We start from the raw sequence: 22,214 nt of genomic DNA, 5'->3' as shown, positions 1-22,214 counted from the left end.
TTTTTTCTTCCTGGCTGGGGTTGGTAGAATGTTCTCAGCTTTGGCCTGTGAGTGTCAGCGCTGCTTGGCTGTCACTGGACCTCACTAAGTTTACCATCAGGTGTTTAATTCAGCACCTTGGCCAAGACTCCCTCTGTCCTGGGCACTGTAGGCTGCAGATTCTGTGGGGGAGGCTGCATGAACGAGCTCTGCCTTGTGCTCATGTGGAGGACGGGCTGGATTGATCTCTTCTTGCCTGAATTGGGAGCTCTCAGGATATTCCTCCATTTGTTTCTGGAGGCCTTGGGGAAAATGACTGGGGCTCTAGATCTCAGGGACAGCTGAACCGTGTGAAAAACCTGGGGAACAGTGGACAAGGGAGGGTAGGTCAGATAAGATTGCATTTTGGGGAGAAGACCCTTTAAGTACCAGAGAGATTGGTTGTCAGATGCAATTGTGTCCCCATTCTAAGGAGTTCACAATGGCACATCCCGGAGCCTGGGACACAGCCAAATGCAGCACCTTCCCATCATTCCTGCATCTCGGGGGCCTGCAGTGACCAGTTGGGTGACCTTGCTTGCAAAATCACTCACTCTTGCTTTTGTAACCTCAGTTTACATTTATAGCAATCATAGAAGAGGAAAGGATTCGAGAGGAACTTGGGATGGGGGAGAGAGCTTTAATGTAGGGCTGGTGTTCATGTTTGACTGGCTTCAGCACTAAACTCCCCAGATACCCCCCAACAGTTCTAACAAAAGGGCTGAGAAGAAAAATTCTAAGCCTGTGCTTTGTGTGTGTCTTTTCTCAAGAGCTGCAAAGGAACCTGAAGCTGTGGCTGTAAAAAATCACAACCCAGACAAGGTGTGGTGGGCCAAGAACAGCCAGGCCAAAACCATTGCCACGGAGTCTTGTCCTGCCCTGCAGTGCTGTGAAGGATATAGAATGTGTGCCAGTTTTGATTCCCTGCCACCTTGCTGTTGCGACATAAATGAGGGCCTCTGAGTTAGGAAAGGTGGGCACAAAAATCTTCATGAGCAATACTTCTTAGTAGATTGTTTTGTTATTCAAATCAAGTTCTAGTGTTTTTATGTGAGATTATATAATTTACAGTGTTGTTTTATATACTTTTGAATAAATGTACACTATTAAAAATAATCCTCTTTGCTGCCAATATTTTTTGATTGTTGATTATAAACATCCTTTGTTTAAATATATTTATTACTCACTTTGGAATGTGGGGGGGGATTAGCTTGTAGCATTGCAATAGAAGAAAGAGAATTGGAATAAAAGTGTCCAGCACATCTCCCACCCGAGAAGGAAAATGCACACTGTTCTTAGGACACTTCCAATTTCAGCCCAGCTGATCTTGTCCAGCTGGAGTCGCTCGTTTAGCTCTCGTGAGGGCTTGGATGGTTGACATCCACCGCAGAAAATGGTGTCATGTCCTGATACCTGTCCTGTTGTCCTGTCCATTTATCCAAGACAGTGAGAGGAGCCAGGCAGGACCTCCCTGTGTTAAAGTTGTCTGACCTGTGTAAGATAGGCCTGAGCTCAGTGACCTCAAAAGGACCTTTTGAAAACCAGTTTCTTCCTACTGCAATCCCCAAATCTCCAGAGCATGTGGCTCCTGCGTGGATTACGGTAACAGTGATGTGTGTTGATCCAGCCATCAACATCTTCAACTGTAACACGAACCACCAGCCAAAGGCCAAAGCCCAGACTCCCTGACCACAACAGCAGGTGGCAGGAAGCACTCCTCCCCACTTTACTCCCAGCTGCCTTCTGTTCCAGCTCCTGCCCCTGAGCCTCCTGGAACCCCTTTCTAAGCATGATTCCCTATCTGTAACCGCCATGTCCACTCCTCTCATGAACTAAACCCTTGCTTGTGACCATCACATGTATACTGAATGTAAAGAATTATTAGCTAGTAACAGGTGGTAATCTACTAAAAGGGGGTAAAAAGGAAAACAGAAGTCGCAAATGAAGGAAACAGCTGTGACAGCTAGGCACAGAAACAGGCCAGATGTGGGTGGAGGAGCTGCCTGTAGACGCCGAGCACCTCCTGGAGGCTGAGCCTCCAGCCCCAGCATGCTTGGGAAGAGGCCAAGTCAGGGCAGCCTCCAGCTGGAGGTCACCTGTCCCCCTTAAGTTTCCGGGCACTGTCTCTGTCCCCTGCCTTTGATTTTCTCTTGTCACCAGCCAGCTCTGACAGATGGAGCACATACAAATCCCCTCTTACCCCACCCAGTGGGTGGCCCAGTGCCTGGATCCAGGACGCCTGTGCCAGGGCCTCCCCATGTGGGTGACTATACCTGGTGCAGGTATTGCGGGGGCCGTGAGGGAGGTGGGACAAAGGTCTTCAGGACACCCCCATTAGCAGGAGGACAGAGCACCGCACATGGGCTTTAGAGCCCTATGGAGCCGGTTCCCATCCCAATTCGGCCTTCACCAGGGGAAGTCCCTTGACTCATCTGAGCCTCTGTGTCCTTGATGTGAAGTGCGGACTTGCACAGGTGACAGAGAAGAAGCAATGAGATGATGCAGGGTGACCCCACAGCACCCCGTGGTCCCCAGGAAGTTGCCAGAGGCCTGAAGGGGGCTTCTCTCCTGACTGGATCTGGAAGCCTGGGTCCTTTGCCAGGGCCACCTAACAGAGTGTGGCCATGAAACTCTCGCACTCAGTGGAGATGGATTAGGGATGTTGGAGATCCCAGCCATGGGTGACAAAGAGGGGTTCAGAGGGAAAGCCCAGGGTGGGAGTGGGTATCCATGGACACAGCTGCAAGCGCTTAGTAACCAGAAGGGTCCCCCATCTCAAACACCTGTGGCCTGCTAACTCACCCCAGGACACCCAGTCCTGCCTCATCCACAGCCAGCCCGGGCAGATAGGAATGGAGCAGAGCAAGGCAGGGGCCTTGGGGTATGTCCAAGCTCCTCCTGAGCATCCCAGGTGCTGCCTTTCCCCTGCAAGGGTCCAACGAGGAATGGATCCCCTGGGTCACAACGTAGGACTGTGCTCTCCCTAGGGAGGCCTCCTGGGCTGCAGCACAGTCAGAACAACACAGAGGGGCTGACGGTAGCCAGAGGGTTTCACCCTAGGAGACTTAGCCTACACGAGCGTCAGACCTCCCCAGAGCTGCACAAAGGTTCTTCAGAAAGTAGCCAGTCCTGGCATTGTCCACTCAATATGTTCCACCTGAACTTAGAGTGAAAACCAGACTCATTTGCCCTATGGGTCCTTCCCCATCTGACCTTCACCTGCTCCTCTCCATCCTCCCCTCCCAGCTCACTCCTCCCACTCATGACCAGCCAGGCTGTTCTTTATTCCCTACTATTGTAGGTGTGCCCACCTGGTCTCTGCCTCGGGGCCTGTGCACTTGCCCTCTCTTTTGCCTAAGATGCAGCCCCCAAGCTCAGATCACCCATGAATGCCTCCCTCTTGTCTTTCTGCCTTTGTTCAGATTTCATCTCTCAAGATGCCCTCCTTCTCACTGTCATATTTCCTCCCCACCCCAAGGCAACCACCATCTATGCAGTCATCCTGTTTATTGTATCCTTAGCTCCTCTCACCAGTTGAATTCTTCATTTATTTTTGTTGTTTAACTCTCCACTTAGAATACAAGTTTCATGAGGGCAGGACTGTGTCTCTCACATTCAATTCTATATTGCTTAGGCCCTAGATCAATAAGTAATGTTTACTGACTGAATGAATGAAAAGAGGGCAGCCCCCACCCACCACCACTTGCTCCTCCCAATCTCAATGTGGACACTAGGATTTCTTTCTCTCAACTGCAAAACACCGTGCCCGAGAGACTAATTCACCTGCTTCAGTCTCTCCAGACATAACTGGTTAGAAATCGCTGTGGGGGAATCTGGATCTGCACTCTTTTTCTCTTCATCCTCTACCCTCTTCCCCTCCCCCACAGGGTCAGCCACCTGGCAGGGCATCTGAATGTCCCAGCTGGACCCAGATTTTGCCCAGGTGCTGCACCCCCTGCCTTGCCCCACAGGCCTTTGTTCTCCCACAGGCTCCCTTCTCAAAGCAGAGCCCTGAAGACTTCAATGATGTCAATGAGGCCACCTGTTTGTGATGTGCAGGCACAGAAGAAAGGCACAGCTCCCCATCAGTTTCATGGAAAATAACTCAGTGCCTGCTGGGAACCAGCTGCTGGAGATCCCTACAGAGAGCTTCCACTGGGGGCAACCCTTCCAGGAAGGAGTTGGGGAGAGAGAACCCTCACTGTGGGGAATGCTGATAAACCAGTCACACAGCTGCTCTATTCTCACACAAATCTACCCCTTGCGTGGCTGGAACTGACGTTTCCCTGGAGGTGTCCAGAAAGCTGATGTAACACAGAGCCTATAAAAGCTGTCGGTCCTTAAGGCTGCCCAGCGCCTTGCCAAAATGGAGCTTGTAAGAAGGCTCATGCCATTGACCCTCTTAATTCTCTCCTGTTTGGCGGAGCTGACAATGGCGGAGGCTGAAGGTAAGAAAATTGAACCAGATTTATTCACCAAAACAGAGAAGTTCTTCTCTTAAGAGGCCTCTTTCAAAATTTTTCAAAGTGTTTATATCTGTTGGCCCCAGTTCAGAGAAAAATGTACTCTAATGCTCTTGGAGGGGATTTTAAATTAGTTCTAATTTTATTTGGCTCATCTGACAATGTCCATAAAAATATCAAAAGTGTATAGAATTTTACTGAGTAATTTACTGCTAAGAGTTTATGTTTTGGAAATAAGCATAAAAGTGTCCAAAGATATATGTATAAATATGTGCACTTACATAATTGTAAACTACAACATGAATTTTCATTATTTCTTACGGTAAATCCATAAAATGGAACACTCTTTTTTGCAACTTAAAAAAAAATGATGGCTGGGGGCGGTGGCTCACGCCTGTAATCCCAGCACTTTGGGAGGCCAAGGTGGGTGGATCACGAGGTCAGGAGTTCGAGACCAGCCTGGCCAACATGGTGAAACCCCATCTCTACTAAAAATACAAAAATTAGCCAGGTGTGGTGATGCGTGCCTGTAGTCCCAGCTACTCGGGAGGCTGAGGCAGGAGAATCGCTTGAACCCGAGAGGTGGAGGTTGCAGTTAGCTGCGATCATGCCACTGCACTCCAGCCTGGGTGACAGAGCAAGACTCCGTCTCATAAAAAAAAAAAAAAAAGACTCTGATCTATAATGTGTCCATAGACCACATTAAGAGAAAAAAGAGATCTGAAGTTTGTGTACAATATGATGGTTCTTATGTTTGAAATATATACATTCAAGCATTTTAAATGTCTAGAAATAGAAGAGGAAAGGAAAAGGAGTGGAAGAATTTACACCAAGGTTTTAGTGATGATTGTTTCTGGATGGATGGGGTTATGGGAGTATATGGGAGAATAAATAAAAATAAAGCTTTGTTCCTATGTAGGTGGGGTTTTTGACCATTAGTCAAAATCTTGGTGGGATTTTGAATTAGTACTAATTTTATTTGGGCCCATCTGACAACATACATAAAAATATAAGAATTTACCAAATAATTTTTAAAAATTTTATAGAAAAAAATTTTCACTATGTTGCCCAGGCTGGTCTCGAACTCCTGAGCTCAAGTGATCCACCCGCTTTGGCCTCCCAAAGTGCTGGGATTACAGGTGTGAGTCACCACGCCCAGCCCCTTACCGGGTAATTTCACTGCTAACAGCTTATCTTTAGGATCCAGTTATTTTTCCTCTTCCCCTTTTCTCTTTCTTCTCTTCTTTCTCCTTTTTAATAACAGCTTTATTAAGATATGATTAACATACCATAAAATCCACCATTTTAAAGTATACAATTTAGTGTTTTTTAGTATATACACAGAATTGTGCAACAATCACCACTATCTAATTCCAGAACATATTCTTCACCCCCAAAAGAAACTGTCTCAGGCTCAGCATGATGGCTCAAGCCTACAATCCCAGCACTTTGGGGGGCTGACATGGGAGCATTGCTTGAGGCTGAGAGTTTGAGACCACCCTGAACGACGTAGTGAGACCTCGACTCTACAAAATTAAAAAAAAAATTTTTTTAGCCAGGCATGGTGGTACATGACTGTAGTCCCAGCTACTCTGGCGGCTGAGGTGGGAGGATCACTTGAGCCCAGTAGTTTGAGGCTGCAGTAAGCTATGATTGTGCCATCTCAATCCAGTATAGGTAACAGAGTGAGACTCTGTCTGTCCCTCTCTCTATATATATATATATTTATATATAGTCTCTCTATATATATAGTCTCTCTATAGTCTATATATAGTCTTTATATAGTCTATATATATAGTCTCTATATATAGACCAATGTTTTATATATATATAAATATATCTAACAATATATATAACTGTATATTATATATAGACTAATGTGATGAATATTAGTGTACAAGTTTCTGTGTGGACATATATATATATATATATATATGTATGTATATATATGTATGAAGAAAGTCTGTATTCACTACCATTCACTCTCCATTTCTCCTGATGTCTCCAGCACAAGGAAACCACTACTCTACTTTCTGTCTCTATAAATTTACTTATTCTGGATATTTCACATAAATGAAATCATGTAATATGTGGTATTTCACTTAGCATAATATTTTCAAGGTTCGTATGTATTGTAGCATGTATCAGTACAATCAGCCCTCAGTACCTGTGGGTTCAGCATTCATGGATTCAACCAACCATGAATTGAAAACATTTGAAAAAATAAGGGTTGGTTACAGAACATGTACAAACTTTTTTCCTTGCTGTTATTTCCTAAATAATATAGTAAACAACTATTTACACATCATTTACACTGTATTATAAATAATCTAGAGATGTTTTGAAGTGTACAGGATGTGTGTAGGTCACATGCAAACACTGTCATTTTACATAAGGGACTCCAACATCCATGGATTTTGGTATCCACAGGGGGTCCTGGAACCAATCATTCGTGGACACCAAGGGATGACTGTACCTCATTTCTTTTTATTGCTGAATAATATTCCAATGTATGGATAGACCATGTTTTATTTATTCATCAATTGATGAACATTTGGCTTATTATGACTAATGTTGCGATGAATATAGTATACAAGTTTTTATGTGGACATTTGTTTTTATTTCTTTTGGGGATATGCCTAGCAATAGAATTGCTGGGTTATGATAACTGTATGTTTACTCTTTTGAGGAACTGCCAGACTGTTTTCCATGGCAGCTGTACCACTTTACAATCCCATAAGCAGTGTATAAGCATTCCAGTTTCTCCATGTCCTTGTCAACACTTGCTGTTTTCTGTGTTTGACTCTAGCCATCCTAATGCATGTGAAGTGATATCTCGTTGTGGTTTTCATTTGTATTTCCCTGATGACTAATGATGCTGAATATATCTTTACATGCATATTGGCCATTTATAGATCTTCTTTGGAAAAATGTCTATTCTGGTTCTTTGTCCATTTTAAATTGGATTATTTGCCTTTTAGTTATTGAATTGTAAGAATTCTTTATACATTCTAGAAATCAAGTGTCTTTTAAAAACCATCCTTTTTTTCCCAGGTTGATCTATAAATTCAGTGCAATTCCAATACAAATCCCAGTAAGAATGTTAAATAGATACAGACATGCTGACTCTAAAATTTATTGAAAAAGCAAAGGAACTGGAATAGCCAAAAAAATTTTGCAAAAGAACAGTAAAGTTGGAACAGTCATGTTACCTACAGTAATAACATAAACTACAGTAATCAAGCAGGTGTGGTTTGCCAAAAGGATAGACAGAGAAAATTGAAATAGAATAGAGTTCAGAAATAGATCCACACAAATATGGTCCTTTGATTTTTGACAAAGGTGCAAAGGCAATTTAATGGAGAAAGGACAGCCTTTTCATCAAATGGTCTTGGAACAATTGGACACCCATATGCAAAAAATGAACTCAACCTAAGCCTCATTTCTTACACATAAATTAGTTCAAAATGGATCATAGATCTAAATGTAAAATGTAAAACTATAGTATTTTTAAAAAGAAAACATGGGAGAAATCTTTGTAACCTGGGGTTGAGCAAAGAGTTCTTAGACAAGACACCAAAAGCACAACCCATAAAAGAAACTATTACTAAATTGGACTTTATAAAAGATTTAAAACTTTTGTTTTGGGAAAGACACTGTTAAGAGGATGAAAAGACAAGATACAGATTGGGAGAAAATATTTTCAAATTGCAGATGCAACAAAGGACTTGTATTCAGCATATATAAAAAACTCTCAAAACCCAATCATGAAAACAAAAAGCCAAGTTAAAAAAAAAAGGGCAAAAGACTGAGAGATACTTACCAAAAAGGATATATAGAAGGCAAATAAGAACATGAAATGATGTTCAATGTCATTAGCCATTAGGGAAATGTAAGTTAAAACCATGATGGGATGCTGCTACACATCTGTTAGAATGGCTATACAAAGCAATACAAAAACCTGACAATAGTGTGTGTTGACAAGAATGTGGTGCAACTGGAACTCTCATACATCATTGGTTGGATTGTGAAATAGAACAGCTACTCTGGCAAATGGTTTGGCAGTTTCTTATGCAGTTAAATATACACTTAACATATGACCTGGTGATATCACTCCTAGGTATTTATGCTAGAGAAATAAAGACACATGTTCATATGGAAACCTATTAAAAATACAAACCATCCTTCTTCGGGTCCTAATATAGTCTCTATATGTAGAGAAGTTAAAAATACTTCTCCTCAAAGGGTTCAAGACGGAGAAATCAACTGCTTTTGACTTACTTTGGAGAAAGCTAAGTACCATCCACAATTAGCTGCCTACTTGTATGTATATTACATGTGAGAGGTAGATTCCTAATCTCTCAGGGAGGGGAAAGGGCCTGTTGACTTTCCTGAGTGCCATCTGTGATCTCTAACAGGCAATGCAAGCTGCACAGTCAGTCTAGGGGGTGCCAATATGGCAGAGACCCACAAAGCCATGATCCTGCAACTCAATCCCAGTGAGAACTGCACCTGGACAATAGAAAGACCAGAAAACAAAAGCATCAGAATTATCTTTTCCTATGTCCAGTAAGTAGAAGCTTTAGTTTCCTAATAAGGGATATCGAACTCTGACCACATTGGGGTGGGTAGGGGGACTCTCTGTAGAAAGAATTCAGCTGCTGCTAGAGGTGGTAGTGACACTGACAACCATCGTGATGATGATGGTGATGAGGATGATGGCTGATAGTCACTGATGATGGCTGTGTGCCCGGCACTGGCTCACAGAGGTCCTTCAAGGTCAGCACTATAATAGTACTACAAACACAACAAGGTTGAGAACTTGTCTGAGGTCACACAAATAGTGAATAGCATGACCAGAGTTAGAACCTAGCTGGTCTAGTTCCAGTTTCTTGGCCTTAAAACACTAAACTTTGGTTCCAAATTTTTCTATGCATTTGAATCAGTGGAGGAGCTTTCACACATCCAGACTCCCAGGCTGTACACCATATGATTAGATTATAATCTCTGGGGGTAGACTCCAGGCATCAATATTTTTTATTTTATAGATTTTATTTTGAAATAAGTATACATTTATAAGTGCTTTTTATAAGTGCCCAGGTGACCCCAGTGTGAGGCCAAGCTGAGAACATGACTCCGCCCTGCAGAGACGCTCAGTGTTTCCTATCTGCCTCTAGTTAATCCTCTCAACAACGCTCTGGGCAGATGCAGTCTAATCCCCATTCTATAGATAAGAAAACACAGAGAAGTCACCAGGTCCAAGACTAAAAAATAATAAAAATGGGATAGGAACTGAATCCAAGCAGCCTGGCTCCAGAGCCCCCCTCTTACGCCTGTCCCAGTGGTTCTTACACTTGACCATACATCAGAAGCCTGTGGCAAGCTTATTAAAACACAACTGCTGGGCCCCACCACCAAAGTCTCTATTGTCTTATTCAAATGGAGTGTGTGGGACCTGAGAATCTGCATAGCTAACAAATGCCCAGGTGATGTTGATGCTGCAGGTCCAAGTACCACACTTTTGAGAACCATAGCCCTGTACCACTGAAGTTGGAATTTACTTTATCCTTCAAAGAAGCAAAAGAGGCCTCAAATTTCCTGGAATGGTTGCTGAGAAACATATATGCTATTCTTGCTGTGTAAGAAGAGAGGGGAAGAGAAATTGTGGGAAGAGCAAGGGAGGCGAGAAATTAACATTTAACATCTATTGAACACCTATGTGCCAGGCCTGTGGCAGGTGCTTCATATTCAGAATATTATAAACTTCACACAGTAATGAGAAGTAGGCTGTGATATCCCCATTTTACAGATGAGAAAACTGAAGCCAAGAAAGGTTAAATCACTTATCTAAAGTTATACAGCAGGTAAGTGACTAAAGTGGAAAGAGAACCCAGATTTCTCTACCCTTGTCTTACTTCCTATAATTTTGGACATATGTCCTCTGAGGATATTTGGAGAGACCCTGTCAGAATGTGCAGCAAACTACAACCCTGGGCTGTCCTGTCCAGTGCAGGGCATGGGACTGTCCTTCAGAATGAGGAAGTGGTGATACAAGGGAAGGAAGGAGCAACTAGGGAGGTGCTAAGGTTTGCTTTTCCTTGGGAAAGGTGGCTATGGAAGAAGAAGAGTTGCTTCACCTTTCAACAGCCTTGGATATCAAGTGTCAATGGGAAACAATTCTAAATAAGAAGGTTCATCAAAGAGTTACATGGACATGGGGAACAGGAGAGATGGAAACAGGTAGAAGGAAAGGAATTCTGATTCCAGGCGCATCCTCATCATTTACTTGATACAAGACATAGGCAAAGCAGTTCATCTCCCTGAGCCCATTAAAGTTGACAGTTTGTGGTTTGATGTTGAGGATGGTGGGGTTGGTGATTGGTCTTGGAGAGGTTTAAATGAAAACAGATGTGCCACCACTTTGTAAATTTACATGCCTAGGTGAGCAATTGACTGCTCTGCAAACCCCCTTTGCTTGTGACACTTCTTCAGCCACAGTTGTGTTTTTTCCACAGGCTTGATCCAGATGGAAGCTGTGAAAGTGAAAACATTAAAGTCTTTGACGGAACCTCCAGCAATGGGCCTCTGCTAGGGCAAGTCTGCAGTAAAAACGACTATGTTCCTGTATTTGAATCATCATCCAGTACATTGACGTTTCAAATAGTTACTGACTCAGCAAGAATTCAAAGAACTGTCTTTGTCTTCTACTACTTCTTCTCTCCTAACATCTGTAAGTCCTCATTTACACAACCTTCACCCACATCTCCTACAAGCACAGGTTACACACTCTTCTGTCCGGGTTCTTATAATCTTCAGTCTGAGTATATTCCCTCAGAGTCTTCTCTATCTGAGAGAGCAGTAGTTCTCTAACTTACATGTGCATAAGAATCATCTGGAGAGCTTGTTAAATCACAGATCCTGGACCCCATCACAGATATTGTGATTCATTGGTTCTGGATGGAGCACATGATCTTGACTTTCTAACTAGCTCCCAGATGAGGCAGAGACAAGGGGCTGATCAGATGGCTACATATTGAGGGGTACTGTGTTAGAGCCCAAAGCGGAGATTCTGCATTCAGCCTGTTTAATAGTAACCCTGGTATCTTCTGCAATGCCTCTTCAGGGACTGCACCTCCCTATGCTCTGATTCCTTAGATCTTGGTTCGGGTTGTTGAACCTTCCTGTTTAACAAGTCCCCCGGATGATTCTGACAAAGAAGACTGGAGAGTGCATGCTGGGAATCTCTGGGCTCACCATTGAAATTTAAGACTGTCAGGTGATTGGAGGCTACATTTACAGGGCTCTGCATTCACAGCACCTACATTCCACTGTGATCCGAAGCAGAATGCCAAGAACATCTGCGAGTGGGTTCATGAGGAGAGCTCCACTGTGGATTTCTTTCCAAGGCCCAGAGCTGACCATGTCACTCTCCTGCTAAAACCACTGACTTCTTGGTACCAGCAGATCTCCAGAGTGCAGCAGTCAAGGTTTTCCCACGCTGGACCCAGGCCACCTTTTCAAGCCTTGCCTCTAGCTGCTGCCTGGCGTGCACCCTATGCTTCAGCCAATCTAAACCATTTTACAGCTCCAAAAAGAGCTCTCTGCATTGTTTCTCCACATTTCATCTGTCCAGCTGCTTCCTTATGTACTTACTGGGGAAAGGAGAGACCAAGGGCTGCTTCATGAAGGCTGTTTCTGAGCTGAGCTTTGAACAATAGCATGACGAGGGTAGGTGGAGGTGGGAGTCAGGGAAGAGGACTCACCTCTGCTGGAGCTGACAGCTGAGGAGTCATGGGAAGAAAGGGAGGATAGAACAGAAGGCCATGAAGTAGTGGCGGATGAGACTGGAAAGCTGAGCTGGTGAGAGTGAGGAAGAGCCTTCAAGGGAGGGTGTGACTTTATTTTCTATGGCGCAATTCAGGTAATGGGAGTCTCTCCAGATGCAACACATGTTACAGCACAACTTTAATATGATTCGTTTGGCAATAGTATAAAGATTCCCTCTCTGCCCTGCACCAGTGGACAGAAATTTCAATGATAAAAAAGGATGAAAACCTCAATATGTGACCCATGGGAAAGATAGAGATGGAATCATACTCAGGAGAGATGTGTTAAGCTCAATGCACAACACAGAAATTAAAAGCAGTCTCTATTTTGATGTTCATTCTTGACCACCTTCACATCCATTTCAGCTATTCCAAACTGTGGCGGTTACCTGGATACCTTGGAAGGATCCTTCACCAGCCCCAATTACCCAAAGCCGCATCCTGAGCTGGCTTATTGTGTGTGGCACATACAAGTGGAGAAAGATTACAAGATAAAACTAAACTTCAAAGAGATTTTGTAAGTACTGCTGCCCAATTCTGTTGGAACAAATGCAGTAAACCCACCTGGCAACTGGGGGATTTGGGGAAGAGAAATTATCATACGTAATTCTCATATATGGGCACTTTTCAAAGAATTGATGTAGAAAGGAAAACAGTGATACTATTCCATTGAACTAAGTTGACTATTTTTCTGAAGATTCTGAGGTCCTTGTCAGAGACTATCAAAACCCCAGGTTTGTCTTCGTAAACCTGAGATACCATTGAAGGAAAAAAAAAATCCATAATCACTTAAGAGTAGGATTGTTGGGATGTTAGAAAATAGAATTGAATTGGTTTGAAACTCTTTTTCACCAGAGGCCCTCATTCTCTAGCCTAGAAATAGACAAACAGTGCAAATTTGATTTTCTTGCCATCTATGATGGCCCCTCCACCAACTCTGGCCTGATTGGACAAGTCTGTGGCCGTGTGACTCCCACCTTCGAATCGTCATCAAACTCTCTGACTGTCGTGTTGTCTACAGATTATGCCAATTCTTACCGGGGATTTTCTGCTTCCTACACCTCAATTTATGCAGAAAACATCAACACTAGTAAGTCATGTTTTATATTCTTAGCTATTTTGAGCTCTTCGAAGATTGCATATGTAGAAATTGTTAATTTTTAGCCTACCTGTGGCTATTCCTATTTGCAAGCATGTCACATGTAGTTGGGAACATATTCATAATCTTAAGCTTGACAATCATTTCTGTGCATTGCTTAATGCAAGAGGAAATTAATGATTTTATTAACCTGAAAAAGATTTATGCAGATAATATGGACTGTTTCCCTTAATTCCTTCTGCAAAGACACAATTAAAAACATCAGGTTTGCAGATTCTAGCTCTAAACAAGGTCACAATGAACACAGTAAAAGGTGAATCAATTGCTTGGCTATCTCAAATTTATGATTACTGTTTAGGGCAAAATGGTTTTGACTTTTTATATATTTACTTGCACACGTAGCTCTTCAAGATCCAACATTCCTAGCTGGCATAAACATGACCATTCTTTTTTTTTTTTTTTTCCTGACAGCATCTTTAACTTGCTCTTCTGACAGGATGAGAGTTATTATAAGCAAATCCTACCTAGAGGCTTTTAACTCTAATGGGAATAACTTGCAACTAAAAGACCCAACTTGCAGACCAAAATTATCAAATGTTGTGGAATTTTCTGTCCCTCTTAATGGATGTGGTACAATCAGAAAGGTAAAGTGAAATACTGATAGCTGGATTTTGTCAAATGCTGAGTGCATGTTGAGCAATGCAGTCAGGGTAATGCTTGCTAGCTGCTGTAACAAACGACCCCCAAATTTTAGTGGCTTAACCACATGATAAGCATGTGAAGACATATAAGTGCACATACCCATTCATACATAGCTGCCAAATTGCTGCATTCATTTTCAGGATAAGTGGGGGATAGTTATCTTTCCCAGAAGGTAAAGAACTCTGAAAACTCACTAAAGAGAGTTCGAACATCTATATGCAGTTGGCTTAATAGCCTACCAGTAACACTTATGCAGAAAATGTTTACACCTTGTATTTAGTGAAAATCTAGCTAAATTTTTAGGATCTTCTTCTTTTCCTTTTAAAGACAGGAAAAAAAAACATTTAAAAAAACCCATTTAAACATGAAGGATATTACTGGAAGTTTGTGATTTGTTCTCCATTTTCTAGAAGTCCCATTCAAGATTTCAAACATTTTCAACCTTTGGTCTCTTTAGGATACATACTATAAAGTTTTCACTCAGACATTAAACAGTAACCTAATTGAAAAGAATGGGGGTTAATCCAGAGGAATTGATAAAGACAGAAGTAAATCATCGTATCTTGCCAAAAATGAACGCACAGTCTTTATTACACTGTGAACCCCCAGGGAAGGCAGCTAAGGGCCTTCCTCTTGCAGACCCTTGGTCTACATATATTTTGGAAACTGCCCAGTTAGCCACACTAACTTAAAGCTCTTTAAGGAAAGCAATATATAGTAAGGTGTAATGTCTTTTTAAGACTGGAAATTTGCAATCAAAATGGATTTTACTGTAACTGAAAAAAATTGTCTGATTCTATCTTCAGGTCTTTCTAATACAAGCTGTATTTCTCATCTCATACTTTCTTTCCTAGAATATTTCTTCAATGAAATACATTTAAGGTTTATAGTATTCTGACATGAAAGCTGTTACCTCGTGATTTAAGAAAATTATGTCTGTACCTGCAAATGTTATCCACATCTATGCTCTAAAATATTACTGGACTTAAAATATAAAAATTGAATTCTATCTCGTTCTGCAGGTAGAAGATCAGTCAATTACTTACACCAATATAATCACCTTTTCTGCATCCTCAACTTCTGAAGTGATCACCCGTCAGAAACAACTCCAGATTATTGTGAAGTGTGAAATGGGACATAATTCTACAGTGGAGATAATATACATAACAGAAGATGATGTAATACAAAGTCAAAATGCACTGGGCAAATATAACACCAGCATGGCTCTTTTTGAATCCAATTCATTTGAAAAGACTATACTTGAATCACCATATTATGTGGATTTGAACCAAACTCTTTTTGTTCAAGTTAGTCTGCACACCTCAGATCCAAATTTGGTGGTGTTTCTTGATACCTGTAGAGCCTCTCCCACCTCTGACTTTGCATCTCCAACCTACGACCTAATCAAGAGTGGGTATGTATTAATGTAACTGATGTATGTATGATATTCCTTCCTGTGGAATAATAATTTCAATAAAGTAATTTTTTGTGTTGTGTATATATACATTTTTCCTAGCACTACATGAAATTTCATTACATTTATTCTAATCATTTTATAAAATAGTTACTATGTACTAATTATGAATAATTTAAATTTAAACATTTATGCAGACACAGCTTATATCTAGAATTTTAAGTGTATTCACAAAATATTTGCTGGTAGAAACAAATTTATTTTCTGTTATAAAAGCTCTATTTGCGTTTTGGTTTTTGTACGTTTTGGTTATTTTCAACAAAAATCTAGAAGATTATTTCATGTGCGTTATCTTTAAAATATAACGCCATCAGTAAAACATATGTAGCATTCTTAAGAGAAAAAGTATAACGTTCTTATTTGAAAGGAACAATTTCCTTTTTTCCTTACAATTTGTTGGATTTTAACTACGTCATTCGTACTGATACATTAATGATAAGCACGTAAGGAAAGAAGTTTGACTTCCAATACGTAAGTATTGGTTTTCTGATTAAGTTATATGGACCAGGAATTTTAGAGCTAGAAAGAACCTTGCTATCTCACCCAGGAATCAGGTCTATAGTCTTAACTCACTGTAGTGTGAACTAGAGACAGTCTTTTGAGAGAGATTTTTGGATTCACAACTTAGTTGAGAGAAAACTTTTTAGTATGGAAAAGACTGAATTTGTCTGTATCTTCTAAACATGTTCATAAATTCTGTTCCAGATGTAGTCGAGATGAAACTTGTAAGGTGTATCCCTTATTTGGACACTATGGGAGATTCCAGTTTAATGCCTTTAAATTCTTGAGAAGTATGAGCTCTGTGTATCTGCAGTGTAAAGTTTTGATATGTGATAGCAGTGACCACCAGTCTCGCTGCAATCAAGGTTGTGTCTCCAGAAGCAAACGAGACATTTCTTCATATAAATGGAAAACAGATTCCATCATAGGACCCATTCGTCTGAAAAGGGATCGAAGTGCAAGTGGCAATTCAGGTAAGAAAAAAGCTATTCCATGATCCAAAAGCACATCATGGCTCATAAAATGCTGCTCAAATCCAGTAACTCTTAAGCATGTACAGTTTAGAGATTTATAATAGTAGCTTTAGCAAATAAGTTGAATTTTAAGTATATAGGATTAGTATTTATTTCCATCAGTTGATAATATGCATACCATGTACAGTGTAAGCAGATGATACACTGATAGTTTGCCATTATTCATTTGGATTTTGAGTATAAGTGTAATGTCCTCATCTCTAAAAACAAGTTTCTTTTAGTTTTCTGACTCCTTATTATAGATGGCATAGCAGATAATTGAATCAAAAGCAATGTGTTTTAACTCCTAAATGAGTAAAACAAAATGAACCAGCATTCCACATAATAGCCTATTTGAAAAAAAGTTATTAAAAAAAAAGACAAAGAATCTATTATATTAACATAGGCTAACCCTGCTTCTTTTGAAAGGCTTGAAACCTGAGATCTGCCCAGATGCATGAAAGGAATGATGGTAAATACTCAAGGAAGGTTCATAATTAAATGGCTTAAGATAAGCCTTAATGAAAGAAAAACTATAAGAAGTTATTTTAGTTGTAAATGGCATTAAAGGACCTTATGATCTCTGTATTTATTCATTTTTGTTAGCACTATAAAGGAGTATGGTTCTGGTTTGTAGCAAAATATTTCTATGGCAAAAACAGAAAAACAAAAGTTAAATTCAGTAATTTTATAAACGCATTCACTAGTGGCTTACATAGTGTATCTATAGACGCTGGTTTGAAATTAGTTGAAAATTTATAAATGGAAGTCATTATGGAAATACCATCAATATGAGAAAAGTATCTTTTTCCTATTTCAAGGGAATGAACAAATTTTTTTTTTCTGTTGACAAAATGTATTTTGGCAACAATGAGCAACAGTGACCATTAGTAAGTGAACCTGCATTTCCATTTGACTGTTATGCTTGAGTGTTACACGTTTTTCATGTGATACCGAGAAATCAAACCAAGTCAACAATTTGAAACAAGTTCAAAATTAAATATAAATATAAATAAATTCAACTATTTGATAATGGTTCCTCTATATTGTGTTGGCATTATGCATTATACATTAATTCATATATAAGATTCATAGGATATGTACAGGTATTATAAAAGCTACCAACATTTTATAATGTGAACACTTCTTAAAAAGTGATTTTCATCTTGTTTCCAATTTTAGGATTTCAGCATGAAACACATGCGGAAGAAACTCCAAACCAGCCTTTCAACAGTGTGCATCTGTTTTCCTTCATGGTTCTAGCTCTGAATGTGGTGACTGTAGCGACAATCACAGTGAGGCATTTTGTAAATCAACGGGCAGACTACAAATACCAGAAGCTGCAGAACTATTAACTAACAGGTCCAACCCTAAGTGAGACATGTTTCTCCAGGATGCCAAAGGAAATGCTACCTCGTGGCTACACATATTATGAATAAATGAGGAAGGGCCTGAAAGTGACACACAGGCCTGCATGTCACTGTGTCGGTGTGTTTCATTACAAGACGATGGAAATAAATACCACGTCAATTGGCTCTCATTTTACGAACTAAAGATACAAAAATATTACATGAGGCCAAGCGCAGTGGCTCATGCCTATAATCTCAGCACTTTGGGAGGCCAAGGTGGGTGGATCACCTGATGTCAGGAGTTGGAGACCAGCCTGACCAACATGGAGAAACCCCGTTTCTACTAAAAATACAGAAATTAGCTGGGTGTGGTGACACATGCCTGTAATCCCAGCTACTTGGTAGGCTGAGGCAGGAGAATCACTTGAACCTGGGAGGCAGAGGTTGCAGTGAGCCAAGATCACGCCATTGCACTCTGGCCTGGGCAACAAGAGTGAAACTCTGTAAAAAAAAAAAACAAAAAAAAAACAAAAAATTACACGAATTAACACCTCCTTTTATAAATACAAAACATTTTAACCAAATATTAGGTGAAAAGAAAAAGGTTATTTTTACTTAAGAAAAGTAGCCTTCAAAGATAGATGTGTTTACTTTTTAGATGCAAATATGCTACTCTTTGAAACATCAAAAGTTAGAATTTCTGAAACTAAAGTGTGAGAAGGAGAACCGCAGTCTCCTTGATTCACATGCCTTCCTGCTTTCATGCAGAGCCTCAGCATTTCTCACTGTAAGCATTTCAGGAAAGGGCTTTGGATAGACAAATGTGACTATAAAACGAGAGACTTCATACCGTTTCTGGGTTAATGAGATAAAAACATTTTTTTTCCCCCTTCACCATCAAGCACCTAAGCCAAAGGTTCATTGTCCTCAAGGAGTAGCCAGTTTGGGTTTACACTTTCCCATTTACTGTGACTGAACAAATACAATGAAAGACCCCAGTGTGCACTGATTTTACACATGAAAACATAGAATCTAATCACCCTAGATGATCAATCAACACAACTCTTTCTCATCATCTAACAACACACATAGTTTCAGGTTGTAACATGCATCCCAACAGGTAACCACATTCCCAAATGCCCAAAGGCATTTTTCCTTCTGAACATGCATTGCATCTACAGGATGCTGAAGAGAATACACGGGAGATGTGATAGAATCTCTGCCCTCACAGAACATGCCCTTAGGACACTGATTTTCCAGCTCCAAATCACAGCAGATCTTCCCCATTTTCTTTTCAATATCTCCATGTCAATCTCCTAAATATTAATACTTTGTCAGGCAGCCACACAGTGACTCTCTTCTATGTTCATCCAGGTAGCCTAAGTTGAACGACTGTAAAGTTATTTTTTAACCTAACGTGAAAACCCCTAAACATTTAATTAGAATGGGCAAATCAGGTTAAGTGCTTAAAAACAGTCTGGTCTGGTCACAGCCCTTCAGCCATCTCTCTATCCAGAACTGACTGGACATTCCCTGCTGGCCAACATGGTAGGGATTCCGATGCAGATCAGGCACAAAAGTGTAACACTACGAAAATGATCAAATATTGTGACTCACTAGATGGTGTAAAATCATATTACCATGAATCATAAGATCACTTGTAGTGGAGCTATTGAGGTATATCTGCAATATCAGTGCATATGCATTATCAATATGTATGCTACTATTTAAGTTTTCTTTGTTTAGAAAGGACTCCAGAGAAGTGATAAAAGTTCCTAGGTCTGGAGTGGGTGGCCCGGGTTCTAGTTCTTCTCACTTACCTGGTGGGTTACATGAGCTAGGTCACCTTCAGCCTTGGTCTCCATAATTTAAAACGGGTTGGTAAAATGTGGCACATATACACCATGGAATACTATGCAGCCATAAAAAATGATGAGTTCATGTCCTTTGTAGGGACATGGATGAAATTGGAAATCATCATTCTCAGTAAACTATCGCAAGAACAAAAAACCAAACACCGCATATTCTCACTCATAGGTGGGAATTGAACAATGAGATCACATGGTCACAGGAAGGGGAATATCACACTCTGGGGACTGTGGTGGGGTGGGGGGAGGGGGGAGGGATAGCACTGGGAGATATACCGAATGCTAGATGACGAGTTAGTGGGTGCAGCGCACCAGCATGGCACATGTATACATATGTAACTAACCTGCACAATGTGCACATGTACCCTAAAACTTAAAGTATAATAAAAAAAAATAAAAATAAAAAAATAAAAAAAATAAATAAAAATAAAATAAACGGGTTGGTAGCAGCTACCACCCCCCGGGGCTGTGGTGAGGATTAAAAAAGAGAGAATGTGTTTGTAGTCAGGAGCCATCCATGTTCCACTTACCATCAGTGAGAAGTTCTCACTGCCAGCTCCAAAATCCCGTTCTAGAATCTGCTTCTAATATGCTTGGGCCACACCTGGCATAGATTGGGTTCCTGAGAAACAGACTCTGACGCAGAGGCTGATGTACAGGAGGCTTCCTCAGGCGTGTGCTCGGGATCAGCCCCCGTGTCCTAGGAGGGAAGCAGAACCAAGCAGGGGAGTTGGCCCACAAAGAAGCAGCTGCAGCAGCAGCAGGGTCCAGCCACTCCCCCAGGGTGTCCTGGGGCCGCTCTGCCCTTCAGAGGTGCCCCACTGAGGCAAGGTGCTCAGACCTGTCTATGCTTCTGTGGATCAGTCGTTGCCTGAGGGCTGCCTGAGGACTGAGGGGCTGTGAACTTGGATTAGACAAAGCCTTGAGCTGAGGGAAATTCCTGGTGAGCGGTGGCACTGAGAGCCGCCAGCCGCCAACACTCCCAGCAGTCTGGATATGAGTGACTTTCTCTGAGGGGACATCTGGGTGTCACCCCTAGAGTGGTCATTCTACTCAACTCCTAAAAGGGATGGCTTTTCAGAATATTTTACAAAGTAACTGTACGTCGTATTCAAAAGACTTACCTAACAAAGTGTTTTGGAGAGGCTAAAAACGAAGGGATACGCAATGGAATACCAGGCACATGCAAACTAGAGGGGCGGGGTGGGGTGGAATCCAGGCTACCTCTGCTTTCCCAAGGCAGGGGGGGTCACCTCATTACTGCTGGGTTGGGGTGAAAGTCCTGGCTCTCCACTGGGCCTCCTCTAACCAGGATAGAATAAAAGGGTGCCTCATCTCTTCCAAGTAGGGGTAAAAATGGAAGTCTAGCCTCACTACCTGCTCTGCACCTGACATGAGGGCTGGAGGTGAGGGTCTCATTACTACCTGGAGGTGATGAGCATCCCAGTGCCCGCTTTGCCTTCTCTGACATCACTCAGGATGAGGGAGGGGAAGAGAAGGAGTGCTGGGGGAGGTCAGAAGTCTAGGCTCTCCACTCAACATTTGCTGGCTGGGATGAAGGTGGGGCCACAGTGTTTCCCATGGCAGTTAGCTAGAGTCGGACAGTTTTCATCTAAGTGTTTTCTGTCTTGCTAAGTTGCTCCTTTGCTGGTCCTTTGGCTAGAGAGAGCAGGCTTTTCTTGGTTCTTTTTGGTCTGTACCATTGGTGTTTCCTGATTGCAGGCTTTTCCCTGTGAAGTGCATTTTGATCCATGAGGTGTGGAAAACTGAACGGTGGCCATGGCTTTCAAACTTCAGCCTTTCTGAGAATCACCTGGAATGCTTTTGGAGAAGGTTGCTTCCTGGATCCCATCCTTTGAACCACACACCAAGAGGAACTGATCTGGAAGTTCGTTTGGACCCTTGTTTATTAAAATGTTAGTTCTTTCATTGTCAACACGTTTCATATTAGGGATTTATTAAAAGTCATAAAATGCTAGGTTTTGGTAGCTGTTATCTTCTACTTCCTCAACATGCTATGGGCTATGAATATATACAGTTAATAGGGAGATGACTTTGAAAGTAGAAACTCTAGCAGCCTACAATTACTTGGAAAAGCTCCTTTATTCATTTGAAGCACTTGCATGAAATACACATCAGATACTAAAATCATTGTTTCATGTGACTAAAGTTGGAGCTACTCAGGGACAAATAATTGACTCTGATTTAAAGATAGTATTTTCACCAAACTGGCCAGTAATCACATTTCATCAATTTCTGTGTATAAGCAGGGAACTTCATTAAAATAAATACCAGTATATTTTACCAAGACAGTTGTTGATGAAGGGAAAATTTGTAATGAAACAGATGTTCAGCTCACAGGCTACACACCTCCTTGGGTCATTTATCAGATTTTTAACCTT

The 22,214-nt window shown here is 41.3% G+C and overlaps 2 protein-coding genes and 1 long non-coding RNA gene across 6 annotated transcripts in view, besides 3 other annotated features; all 3 read left to right on the top strand.

Moving 5' to 3' along the window:
- Nucleotides 1-1,150, top strand: part of FAM24B (family with sequence similarity 24 member B) — a 30,564-nt gene extending 29,414 nt beyond the window's left edge. For 2 of the 3 annotated variants that reach the window (NR_037911.1, NM_001204364.1), the window contains one exon: nucleotides 789-1,134. Coding sequence is in view for 2 of the 3 variants with exons in the window: in NM_001204364.1 (NP_001191293.1) it covers nucleotides 789-981 (193 nt within the window). In the remaining variant the exon portion in view is untranslated. Of the gene's footprint in view, nucleotides 1-788 lie in introns of all 3 variants that reach the window. The other variant, NM_152644.3, reaches the window with a different exon arrangement.
- The window catches only part of FAM24B-CUZD1 (FAM24B-CUZD1 readthrough), a 47,487-nt gene extending 29,414 nt beyond the window's left edge, over nucleotides 1-18,073 (top strand). The window contains exons 3-11 of the long non-coding RNA NR_037915.1: nucleotides 4,008-4,466; nucleotides 8,900-9,050; nucleotides 10,997-11,211; nucleotides 12,674-12,824; nucleotides 13,180-13,397; nucleotides 13,878-14,050; nucleotides 15,131-15,522; nucleotides 16,288-16,556; nucleotides 17,778-18,073. This is a non-coding gene — a long non-coding RNA (FAM24B-CUZD1 readthrough). The remainder of the gene's footprint in view (nucleotides 1-4,007; nucleotides 4,467-8,899; nucleotides 9,051-10,996; nucleotides 11,212-12,673; nucleotides 12,825-13,179; nucleotides 13,398-13,877; nucleotides 14,051-15,130; nucleotides 15,523-16,287; nucleotides 16,557-17,777) is intronic.
- Nucleotides 2,634-3,515: an enhancer, noted in NCBI's record as "H3K27ac-H3K4me1 hESC enhancer chr10:124606229-124607110 (GRCh37/hg19 assembly coordinates)". NCBI's record gives its function as "activates a minimal SCP1, AML or CMV promoter by ChIP-STARR-seq in primed H9 embryonic stem cells {active_cell/tissue: H9 hESC(primed)}" and the evidence as "EXISTENCE:reporter gene assay evidence [ECO:0000049][PMID:30033119]".
- Nucleotides 3,582-4,081: an enhancer, noted in NCBI's record as "OCT4-NANOG-H3K27ac hESC enhancer chr10:124605663-124606162 (GRCh37/hg19 assembly coordinates)". NCBI's record gives its function as "activates a minimal SCP1, AML or CMV promoter by ChIP-STARR-seq in primed H9 embryonic stem cells {active_cell/tissue: H9 hESC(primed)}" and the evidence as "EXISTENCE:reporter gene assay evidence [ECO:0000049][PMID:30033119]".
- Nucleotides 4,082-4,583: an enhancer, noted in NCBI's record as "OCT4-NANOG-H3K27ac hESC enhancer chr10:124605161-124605662 (GRCh37/hg19 assembly coordinates)". NCBI's record gives its function as "activates a minimal SCP1, AML or CMV promoter by ChIP-STARR-seq in primed H9 embryonic stem cells {active_cell/tissue: H9 hESC(primed)}" and the evidence as "EXISTENCE:reporter gene assay evidence [ECO:0000049][PMID:30033119]".
- CUZD1 (CUB and zona pellucida like domains 1) lies at nucleotides 4,371-18,070 on the top strand. Of its 2 annotated transcripts, NM_022034.6 has the most exons (9): nucleotides 4,371-4,466; nucleotides 8,900-9,050; nucleotides 10,997-11,211; nucleotides 12,674-12,824; nucleotides 13,180-13,397; nucleotides 13,878-14,050; nucleotides 15,131-15,522; nucleotides 16,288-16,556; nucleotides 17,778-18,070. In NM_022034.6, exons 1-9 carry the CDS (start codon nucleotides 4,385-4,387, stop codon nucleotides 17,948-17,950), a joined length of 1,824 nt encoding a protein of 607 aa, NP_071317.2. In that variant the 5' UTR covers nucleotides 4,371-4,384; the 3' UTR covers nucleotides 17,951-18,070. The 2 variants fall into 2 exon arrangements, 1 of the variants encoding a protein (NP_071317.2); NR_037912.2 differs by lacking the exon at nucleotides 8,900-9,050.
- Nucleotides 18,074-22,214: the final 4,141 nt, after the last annotated feature.

Source organism: Homo sapiens, chromosome 10 (genome assembly GCF_000001405.40).
Source record: "Homo sapiens chromosome 10, GRCh38.p14 Primary Assembly".
In the NCBI taxonomy this organism is placed as follows: Eukaryota; Metazoa; Chordata; class Mammalia; order Primates; family Hominidae; genus Homo; species Homo sapiens.
The sequence above is the reverse complement of the archived record's forward strand: the minus strand, read 5'-3'. Positions and strand labels throughout refer to the sequence as shown.